Below are 12,114 nucleotides of genomic sequence, written 5' to 3' on the forward strand. Positions count from 1 at the left end.
ATCTCTCTAAGAAGATGTAACTACACACTATAGTATACTACTACAATTATCAAATTTCATGTTGCATGTAACTTGTCGTCTGTATTTTTGTAGTTAGATTAGATTAACTAAAGATTTTTCAAGTTTGCCTTTAAGTCATTTAATTTTCCTGCCTTATCTTTAACCTTTCAACATTCCTCCAAACAATAGCAACACAAGTGTTATGTGTTAACTTCTCTAGTGACAAAAACTTATACTTCTCCACAAAGAGATGTGATGTTCATTATCAATAAGCTTGACATCTAAAATTGTTTTATAGGAGATACATATTACTTTTTCAGATGGTATATAAAGTTAAATAAATCTTAAGTTTTCAATGATGGGAAAAGCTTCCATTTAGTTTAAACATAATGTAAAGAAATTTGAATCCCCAAAATAGAATTATAATTCTAAAAATTCATACTATAATTCTTCTTAAATGTTTAAATTACAGTTAATTAAAGTAGTTGATTTCAAATAGAGTGGAATTATGGGCTGTACATCATTTAATTTTATGTGCTGACTGCTACATAGCCAAAGGAACGTGAATTAAGATGGTTCCACTTTTGACCAGGAGATGGAGCTGTCATGTAAGATGCTGCCTTTATTTATTTATTTTTCTAATTTAGCATGCTGTTTTCTAACAGACATTGGGTACCATCGAATGACTGTCAGAACAGAAAGCTAAGGCAAAGGAGGGAGGATGCTGTGGTCATCCTTTCTTGTTTTTTTCTTCTTTAATGAGGATAGAGCACATGTGAGATTTTACTTTCTACTCCAGTAAAAATTCTGAAGAATTGCATTGGAGACTGTTATATTCAACACATACGTGGATTCTGTGTTATGATTTACATTTTTCTTTATTTCAGGTAAGCCAGCATGATTCTATTTTTGACTTATCCACGGATTGTTATCTATGTTAAGAATGACATTTAATATAAGATGTGTGCTTTGTTAGCTTGTATTCAGATCTAAGAGATTCAAAAGCTCTAATTCTAGCTGTTGTGCAATTTAAAATCTTCCTAGGCTGAAATGAGCTCTGACTATGACATACCGTGTTTTATTATTTCTTTGGCTTTCTAGCTGTTGGTCTCTGTCTCTGGCTGTATTTGTTTACCTTTTAAAGGTAAAGCTTTCAAAGTGAAGGATGGGTTTTCCTTTCACAAGGGAAATACTGCTCCTTAATGCAGTGAACAAATTGTAGAGATATAATGAAGCAGATTAACATGGCAGTGGCTCTGCCAAAGCTCAGGGCTGAGCCTTCTGATTGCAGCCTCAGAGGCAAGCCAATATTCTGAGTCCAAAGGCCTTTTGAACGATTTCTGCTGGCTATGATGGTACAGATTGTTTATGTCTTTATTTTTACCTCTTAGAAATAATACGTAAGTCATTTCTCCCACATGAATCAAGATTTATGTAATGTGTTTAATAGACTTGGAATGAGACTATAGACCCTCCCTCCTCCCCCAGTATGGATGTGAGGAGTATGCTGAACACAAATTAATTGCCATGAAAATTGATTTTTTCTGTATTTTATTGGATTTGGGATAATAGAACCGTGGCCATTTTAAATAGTTGATATTATAGAAGGTGCTCACATTTTAAATTATTTTAGGTCATGTGACATTATCTGTGTTAAAGAGTGGAATGACTCAGGAGGTGGAAGTTGCATGCAACAGCCTTGCTTCTCTCTGCTGCTTCTCGTGATTTCCCTTAAATCCTTGCTTGATTATTATTAGAATAACAGGAATAAAGACATATAGAAATCCTATATTTAAAAACCACTGATTTTCATTTAGAGAAATTTAAAGAGATTTTACAAATATTTTAAAAATAGTTTTGTAAGATTGTTTTTAAATGCCTCACTTCTTTCTCCTGTGGAAAGAGCTGTGTGTGTGTGTGTGTGTGTGTGTGTGTGTGTGTGATGGTGGAGGTGGCAGGCGGTGGAGGTGCATCAGGATGTTTTTATCTCAGTCATTGTTTTCCTGTAAAGAGGTAGTTTTGCCATGTCAGAGGTTGTGAAAGCTATGGGGAATGATTTTATAAAATGGTTTGGACAAACCATGAAAAAAACATGTTTTTTAAATGTGTGGAATCTATAGAGTTTGTAGTTCTACATGGCTCCATATACATGGAGATTTTTAGAATTACAGATATTTAACCATTTATCCCCATTATCATTTAAAGAAAAGCAATTGTAATTGAGAGATAAGGTGGATTTCCCAGAGTCACGTACTAAATTACAATAAGGCAAGGCTAGAACAGTGATTGACAGTTCCACATCTTCCATAGCAGTAACACAATTCACCTCTAGTGTGAACATATCAGGATGGCATAGACCAGGTATGATGATATTCACTGTGCGTGTGTGTGTGTGTGTGTGTGTGCATGTGTGTGTGTGTTTGGTTATATTCTGTAAAATAGAGTTTCTTTCAGTATACTGTTGCTCAATGGCATATTATATGCAGTGCTCAATTTTCTTAGGTTTCTTGTCAAAGCATCCAAGAAAACTGAATGACAACTATGGAAACTCTGTTTCTTAGTATGCCTTTTTCATTATTAGGTGGTGTATACTCTTCTACCCTATGCTCATGAATGATGTGGATGGCCACATGGCTTTCCCTCCTACCTAATAGAAAAGATTGTACATATAGGTTAATCTATTGACAACTATAAGAATATCATCTCATGTCCAAGCCTTTCCTCCTTTGTTCACTTACTAGGCACAGGCTTTACCCTACTTCTTCAATATCTTGAGAAAAGAAAGGGATTAAAATGTGTCATGTCTACATATATTTGTGGAATACCACGTACCAACCAAGTGTCCATGGTAGAGATAAAGAAATAATTAGTCAAGGAGTTTACCTCAGGGAGGTTAACATGCAAATATACATGTGCAGATACCACTATATCTCAAAATAAGGAATGAAGAAAGATGAGAAAGTGAATGGGACAGGAATATCAGCACCTATCTTGTGCCAGGCACCATGTTACATCCTGGGATTCAGAACAAAACAATAATGTTAATTTCTGTCCATGGGGGGCTCAGAGGAAAAGATTTTAGGAGGATGTGACAGTTAAATTAGATCTTTAAGAGTGAGTTGGATATAAATAAAGAAAAACAGAAAGTTGCTTATTCCAGGTACATAGGTGAGGCAAGTAAATACAAGAAAATGGAGAACTATAGGCATCGTATAGGGAAACTGTAGAGAAAGGTAAATAACCCAATCTGTTTGAAGCTTTTGTTGTCGGTGTTGTTGTTGCAGTTGTTATTTTTTTTCCCCTGGGGCAGTAAAAGTAAGGATAATGAATTTGGCTTTTGGTGTTATGCATTTGACATACTGACACATACTCATACACTGGGGTGTTTTATAAGGAGCTGAACATGTTATATCCATGTATCAGATTAGTGGTTAAGGCTGAATGTATAGATCTGCATGCAGTTGTGGGACAAAATTAGGTCATACATAATTAAACATTAATGGGGAACAAAAGAGAAGTGAAGATGACTGGGGGCATAATCTTAAGATTAGGAGAGTAAAAAAGTGTAGAAAACTATTATTAAATTGTGTGAAAATAATGTGAGAAGTTGACGGAATAACAATATCATAGGAGGCCAAGCAGGTAAATTGAATATCAAAATAGGGATCAGAAACAATAGAAAACCCATAAAGGGGTTGGTTCATAAGAGGATAGAGTAAAGATGATGGATTTAGTTATCATTATTAGGTCATAAATTAATTTTAAGAGAAGAGGTTTAGTTGAATGGCAGAGACAGGGGCTCTGAGGACTAAATTGGACATGAGAAATCTGGGGAGTATATTTAAGTTTTAAGAAGTTTGCCAGGGAAAGGTAGGAGAGATAACATTTTATACCTGGAGAAAGAAGGTACTGTTGAGGGAAATTTAACTTTAGTGCAGATTAGAAAAACCTAAGCCCTTTGTAGAGTAAGGTATGAAGTCAGTAGAGAGAAAATTGAGGAAAGAAGAAACAAAAGTACACCAAGGTCGTGGAAGAGACAGAAGGAAGGTTTGAAAATGCTTTTCCTTGACACAGGAAGAAAGGGTGGTTGATGATAATGAGCAAAGCTGGTGTAACTCACTTTGGGTGGCCTGTTTTTCGAAATTAAATCCTTGTTTGTAAGATGAAGTATCTCCTCTGATTAAATCAGTTTGTTCCTCAGTAAAGGCTATTGGTGGCATATGGACTTTCTGGAAGAAATAATTAATCCTCAGTAGCAAAACACTTTCCTGCAGAATATATTTTAGTCACATTAATTCTTGAATTGGAGACTAATAACACTGTTTCACATGAAGCTTTTACATACTTCAGTTATCAATTTCTTATTCATAACCACCTATTTAAAAACAGGTTCTATTTAAAACTTGTATTGAATTAGGCCAACACATATCTATTATACATATCTAGTTTGATTACTAAGGGCTGGTTTGCCAGTATCTAAATTAATTATTCAAGTTCTTTCCTTTTTTGAATCCTTCAGTTTCATTAGCACGTTCACCAGGACTTGTGTAGAGAGAGTCAATGTCATGGCCGGGTGCAGTGACTTATGCCTTTACTCCCAGCACTTTGGGAGGCCGAGGTGGGCGGATTGCCTGAGGTCTGGAGTTTGAGACCAGCCTGGACAACATGCTGAAACCCTGTCTCTACTAAAAATAAAAAATTAGCTGGGTGTGGTGGCAGGCACCTGTAGTCCCAGCTACTCGGGAGGCTGAGGCAGGAGAATCGCTTGAACCTGGGAGGCGGAGGTTGCAGTGAGCTGAGATTGCGCCACTGCACTCCAGTGTGGGTGACAAAGTGAGACTCTGTTAAAAAAAAAAAAAAAAAGTCAATGTCAGGAAGCTCCTTTCCCTTAGGGAACTAGCTTCCTTATGAAGCTTCCTACCAGAAGTTCCTTTTTTCTCCATTTCTTCTGGCAGTTACAGAATCCTCTTGGGGCTTTCTTAGAGCCAATCTCCTCTAAGGTGAATGCATTTTCTTGCATTCACCTGTCATGAAATGGCAGTGGAAAGACTTGAAGAAGGCACAGGCGTTGGTGAGTCATATATATATTTTGCTGATAATAATGAATACCATTGGCAATATAATAGTGGCCATTGAAATATTATTTCTATTAGGAAAAGATAACTTGCATCAAGAATATGAGATGAAATTCTATTAAAAAATGAAAAGTAGATGGGCCACCGTGGCTCTTGCTTATAATCCACTTCGGGAGGTCGAGGTAGGCAGATCACCTGAGGTCAGGAGTTCTAGACAAGCCTGGCCAATATGGTGAAAACCTGTCTCTAGTAAAAATACAAAAATTGGCCAGGTGTGGTGGCTGACGCCTGTAATCCCAGCTACTCCAGAGGCCGGGGCAGGAGAATCACTTAAACCCAGGAGGCGGAGGTTGCAGTGGACTGAGATCGTGCCACTGCACTCCAGCTTGGGCGATAGAGGGAAACTCTGAGTCAAAAATAAATAAATAAATAAATAGAAAAGGAAAGGAAAGAAGAAAAATAAAAGCTGACCTCTCTATAACACTCATACGTTAGTGTTATCTCCTCTTTATCCATTTGGGTTTAGTGAAATTGGAGGTCAGTGGAAGGAGAGGTAGAAGTGGATTTTGCAAATCAGAAGTATAATTTTTTTTTCTGGTAATGTTCCATTAAACTTTTCAGTCAAAACCTTTATGTGGAAGAAGACATAATTACTAACTACATTAATAATAATAATGAAAAAATCTTATCATGTAATATCGTTTTGTTTATTAGTGAAACATTTTAGAGAAATGATTTAAGAATCAAAGGTATTTAAGTATATTTTATTTATTGGAATGTGATAAAATATTTTTGAGGGTAAAAAACTATAATTTCAGTTAACTGTTTGTACTTACTAAAATAACATTTAGGGGGATAAAATGATCTTAGGAAGAAATTGCCCACAAAAAGTGTTTTGAATTGTTTAGATTATTTTTATAGTTTTAAGTTGTTAAGTCTTTTGCTGGTATCTAGGATTAGTTGGGAGTATAATATGCTTTGAACATGAACATGTCTTGGTGTTATTAGCAAATAGGTATACAATTATGTGATTGTGTAATTACTCAGCTACATCTTGTGTTGTGTGATATGTATGGGGAAATGACAACAAAATAACAACAGTTCTCTTAAGCATATATGAAGGTAGTGCTTGAAATATCATGAAAAAAAGAAAGGGAGATTATGATAATGTTATGATAAGAGAAGACTGACACTATCCCTCTTCTCTGAATAACTGATATCAAAATGTGAAATTCTAAGGAATGAAGCAAGCTGGTCAGGGCAATGGTGATGCTGTCTCTGTATCAGCCCAGCATTTCCAGCTAGGATATTTTCCTTCTTTTCTGTGTGATACAGTTTGGCTCTGTATCCTCACCCAAATCTCACCTTGAATTGTAGTTCCCATAATCTCCACGTGTTGTGGGAGGGACCCTGTGGGAGATAATTTAATCACGGGGGTGGTTACCCTCCTGCTGTTCTTGTGATAGTGAGTGAGTTCTCACTCGATCTGATGGTTTTATAGGGGTTTTTCTCCCTTTGCTTGACACTTCTCTGTCCTGACACCTTGAGAAGAAGGATGTGTTTGCTTACCCTTCCGCCATGATTGTAAATTTCCTGAGGCCTTCCCAGCCATGCAGCACTGTGAGTCAATTAAACCTCTTTCCTTTATAAATTACCCATTCTTGGGTATTTCTTCACAGCAGCATGAGAACTGACTAACACACTATGTCTCCCCTGGATTGAGCAAATGAGGGAGCCCAGCAATTGTCAGGCAGCTAGGATCTGTGAGGAGTGCTTAGACCTACACTTACTATTTCCTGAATTAACAGTCTAGAAGACAGGAGCCTAGTTATACAGACAGGGTGACCATAAAATGTGTCATCTAAACCAGGATTCAGTTTGTTAATAATTTCTCCACAACGACAGGTATAAATCAAGATGGTTCCAGGTAAACTGGGATGCACAGTCACTCCACTTCTAAGGGTCAAGAAACTTCTACATTTAATCAGTCTATTCAATTAAATTGTTCATGATTTTGTTGCCTAAGTGTTAGAAAGTTAAAATGTGAAATGACCTATCAATTAGACAAAGGGCATTCAGCTAAGCTGCTCCAATTACTGGCCTTGATAAATCCATCAACCGAAATCTCTAATGATTCTTGTTGAATCCTTAGTTATATCACCAGGAATGATGTCACTCCAATAATGTTAAGCCTGACTTCCCAGGGAATTCAACTGTGTGCAAAAAAAAACTGTTAGTAAATTATGCTGTTATTACAAACCTAGACTCACAGCATCATAAATCTATTCAAATATAAAAGCAAAAGCAGGATAAAATATGGATTCAAATTATTTCCACATTTGGGTATGCATCTTTTAAGGAGTTTTCATGAATGTGTAATCCTTAGAAGATAGGAATTTAGCTCCAAGAACACTGGAATTTTCTCCACTGGCACTTTATACCCAAATCTTGGTAATGTCAATATGCATATGTATGGCCTCTTAACAGACTATCCTGTAAAGTAGTTAAATTATTTTCCTCCAATGATCATGTTTTTTTTACCCTTCTTCAGACATCCACTCCCATGGTTTTATCTTGAAACTCTTCATGGCCAGTAACTGTGGCCTGCCCATAATCCTTCCTTCATACATCCTACACCACCTTTCTAGCGCATTTCATCTACAACTCCAATTCATTCCTTTAATCCCACCAGGCCTCTAAATCACTGATCTCGTCATACTTTGATTATCTCTCACTAAATGTCCTCTTTCCTTTCATTAGATAAATTCCACAGTTATTCATAAAAGTCACTCCTTGTATATACATACATACCTCACAAACTCCTCCGCTCAGTGTTTTTTTGTTTGGTTGGTTTTTTGGTAACTGTCTGGCTAAATCTTCATCCTCATATTCAGTTCCCACCTTACTTCCTGCCTGCACTTTTGCAGCTGGACGCATGCAAAAGTGGGTCCTTCATGATGCCCAGCAATCATGCCACATGTCCCTAGATTGATGCCCAGCAACCATGCCACATGTCCCTGGATCACTTACTCTCCCAGGTTCTTGTACTTAGATTTCATACCCTTTCTTTTCTCCTCAAACCACCAATACCTCCTACCTTGACCTCACTCTCAGTTGACAACTTTGTTTCCTAAATCAGTGAGAAAATTGAAACAATCAGGAGAGATTTTTCCCCACAGGTTTCTATCACTGCATGTGCCTTCCTACCAGGTTCTGCACCCACATAACCTGACCTCCCACCCATTACCTTAAATCAACTATCCCTGTTTCTATCTAAAATCATTCCTGCATCTGTGCACTAGATCCTATTCTTTCTTACTTACACAAGGGCATCTCTAGAGCATTTTATTTCTCTGTCTCTCCTGCATTAGTAATTTTAGCTCTTTATTATATTTGCATACAAGCATTTTATTATTGCTCTTGTATTTGAATTTTTTTACTTCCTTCAACTATCTTTTTTTTATTTTTTGTTGTCTTTGCAATAATACTTAATGAAAGTGTTTGCTGTATTCTCTGTATCTATGACTCTCTTTCTATTCTCTTTTAAATTTACGTTAGTCAAGTTTTTACTCTTACCATTTCACCAAATCAGCTCCTGATAGAAATCTGATGACCACCCTATTGCCAAATTCATCAGTCCATCCTCAGCTTTCATCTTACTTGACCATCCAGCAATATTGGAGACAGTTCATTGCTGTCTCCCCCTTGATACACTGCCTTCCGTTGGATTTCAGGATAGCACACAATTTTGACTCTTCTCTTAGCTTATTGTTCACTCCTTCACAGTCACTTTACTCTTTACTCTGCCTTCCCAGACTTCATTATTTGGGTGTCCCTGATTCTGTCCCTGATTTTCTTTTCTTCTTTATCTACTTTCTTTTGATCCCATTGAGTTTTATGGCGTTAAATGCCATATAAATCATGATGACATCCAAATATTTACCTCCAGTTTTCTGCCAAACTGAACTTGTGTGTCTAACTGCTTATTTGGCTTGGATATCTAGAAGACACTGAAAAGTTAACATCCCTAAACTAAATTTCGGATAGTTCTTCCCAACCAACCTGCTCCAATCCTCGCTTTCCCCACCTTACTTTTTTCAGGAGATAACTCTAGTTTTCCTCATCCTCAGGCTAACAACTCTAGTATCATCCTTGATTATTCTTTTTCTCTTATATCTGACATTCAGTCCATGAGAAATTCCTGTTGATTTCAACTTCAGAATATACCCAGGATCTATGTGCTGCCACCTTCACACTGCTACCCTGCTCAAGCCACCATCAAGTTTCTCATGGATTTCTGCCTTAATTTCCTAATTGGACTTTATTCTTCTACTTCTCCTTACAATCTATTCTCAATACGGCAAGACAGAAGTAAGATTACGCCACATCCCTGCTCAAAATTCTGCAAGTGATATCCAGTTTTCTCAGGGTAAAAGGCACCTGACAATTTCCAAAAAGTCTCTATTTAGCCTGGTCTCCATCCCATTACAGTATTTCTCTGAATTTGTCTCCAGTTTTTCTTTCCCTCATTCACTTTCACTATTTCTTGAATATTGCAGGAACACTTCAATCCTTTGGGCTGTTTCCTCTGCCTAGAAACCTTTTGCCTCAGGCACTTGCATGACTAACCTCCTCACCTGTTTAAAATCTGAGCTCAAATGTCGTTTCTAAATAATACCTACTCTTAACTATCCCATTTAAAAATCTCAGCCCCCTTCCTCTAACTTCATTCTTATCGTCTCCCACATTCTTCTATACTTTCTTTTCTTTGTTATCATTTGCTTTGCTTTGTTCTTTTTTTCCTTTTCTTTCCTTTCTTTTATTTCCTTCCCTTCTAACACATCACATTATAGCATACTGTATACATTGCATTTCTCTTGTTGGTAATTTAAGCCCCAAATGGGCAGAGATTATCATCTGTTTGGTGCACTGATGTTTCACAAATGCTTAGAACACTTCCTGATCTATAGAAGAGACTAAAAATGTTTGTAGAATAAAATAATGAATCTTAGAAACTTAAATTTATTCCTTTAAGCATACTAAGGGGCACCATGCTTTCTCTTTCACTTTATTGGGCTGATTCACATTTACAAATGACCCAGTGCAATCTGCCTGATTTTTCATTCAGTATTTACACCAATAGAAATAAAATGCATATTAGTGTTATAAAATCAAACCTTAAATGACAGTAAATGTATCATTAATAGTTACTGAAGACCTTTTCCTGATATATATGACATTTAATGTTTTTCTCTTGTGACTTCATTGTTCTTTGTTTGCTTGTTCATCTTCTAGATTGTGAGCTCCTCAAAGTCAGGAACTTGGTCATCATATCTGTCTCCCAAATACCACACTCAATGTCTGGCACATAAGAAGTTTTACAAATATGCTGTTTTAGTCATAGGATGAGCATACACTTAAAATTTAATACTGGTCCTGCATATGCTGTGTCCTGAGCTTTCGCTATGTAGGTTGCTTTAATTCTTACAACCGTGTGGAGCAAAGCACTGGTCTCATTTTACAGATGTGATAAAGCTAGTTATTTTGTCCAGGACTTAATCATTGCAGTATTCTCACTGTCTAATCTCTAGTGACCATATCACAGGAAGTTAATTATGCTCTTTTTTTAAAGATAAATTGAAATAATGCTAACAATGCCAGATTTCTTGGAAATGTTTTGTTTTTAGTTTCAGTTAGAAGCACGCCTTAGCTTAGTGAATAAGGGACAATGAATGTTATTTATTTTCCTGCTCAATTCAGTTGGGAAAATTGACCTCATCGTTTTGTGTTTTCAATCCCTTAAGTGTAATAAAATTATTTACTACCTTAGTTTATATAAATCACCAAGATCTAATGGAAGCCACCCAGTTAACTCTCCTAAAGAGTCTTCAAGCATGTTTTGTTCTAAATCTCAGCTTAAGTATTTTCCATTGTTTACCACCTAATGTCTATACTACTTGATTTATAGAAAGTCTTATCTAATATAAATATGCTAACTAGCTATGATAAAATTGATCACTTTCCACATAATCATATACTGAAAAAAAATTCCACTGAATATATTTCTGCCCTCCATAGATTCCAGGATTTCAGTGAATTTTTCTTAATAATCTCTGCTTCAGAAATGTATATAAACTTTTGTCCTAATCAAATCTAACTCAAACGTCACTTCCTTTATAATGTTCTCTCTGTTTTCACATGCAGCATATACTTCCATTCTACTCTGCACCTATCTCTACACTTGTAATGTGAAGTAGCCAGATATATGTGGACCTGGGTCATCTGTCATATTTAATTGTGTACTATATAAGGACAGATATTGTTTTGTATGGTTCTATCAAGCTACCCAGTATCTACATATACTGCCCTCCATAGGAGGTAATACATATGCTGAGCTCTACTCATTTAAAACTTCAATCAAGGTACTATTGGAATTTCTTAGTTTTACAACATAACTATGTCCTACTTCAAGTGACCTATTAAAATAGCTCTCAATAGTTTGCTTTAATACAACTGCCTTTAATAGCTTTTAAATTTAGTGTTTGTTTGAGTAGACTTTATGGTGATTTGTAAAATGATATGGATATAGTATATAGAAAATTTTAACAGAAATGTAAATAATAATTATAATTTAGGGAAACGGTGCCCTCTTGCTCTATTTCACACACACACACACACACACACACACACACAGGCACACATATACACACAAAAAAAATCTCTATTTCCAAATCTTGTTCACAAGGAGCTCTCTAACTCCATGAGTAATTTTTACAACCAATAACAGATTAACCAACAATAGTCACACGAACATGTACACACACATATACACAGCCTAACTTCCCCACATCATTATTATCTATCTATCGTCAAGAATGCAGCTTATAAAATACAATGACCTGGCTGCTATAGGAAAGGATAAAATGTAGGTTGCAGTGATCTTCTGACATTGAGATGGCAAGGAATGTGTTTTTTGCAGGAATTTCAAAACCTGAATTGTAGAATGATTTGAGATACTGCCTTAACTACCAACAAATTT

The 12,114-nt window shown here is 36.2% G+C and overlaps 1 protein-coding gene across 4 annotated transcripts in view; it reads left to right on the plus strand.

Annotated features, from left to right (window-relative positions):
• SCN2A (sodium voltage-gated channel alpha subunit 2) overlaps window positions 661-12,114 on the plus strand; it is a 152,891-nt gene continuing 141,437 nt past the window's right edge. For 2 of the 4 annotated variants that reach the window (NM_001371246.1, NM_001040142.2), the window contains exon 1: window positions 661-887. The gene's annotated coding sequence lies outside the window, so the exon portion shown is untranslated. Of the gene's footprint in view, window positions 888-2,306; window positions 2,362-6,576; window positions 6,696-12,114 lie in introns of those variants that run through there. The other 2 variants (NM_001040143.2, NM_001371247.1) reach the window with 2 other exon arrangements.

This window comes from Homo sapiens, chromosome 2, assembly GCF_000001405.40.
Source record: "Homo sapiens chromosome 2, GRCh38.p14 Primary Assembly".
Lineage (NCBI taxonomy): Eukaryota > Metazoa > Chordata > Mammalia > Primates > Hominidae > Homo > Homo sapiens.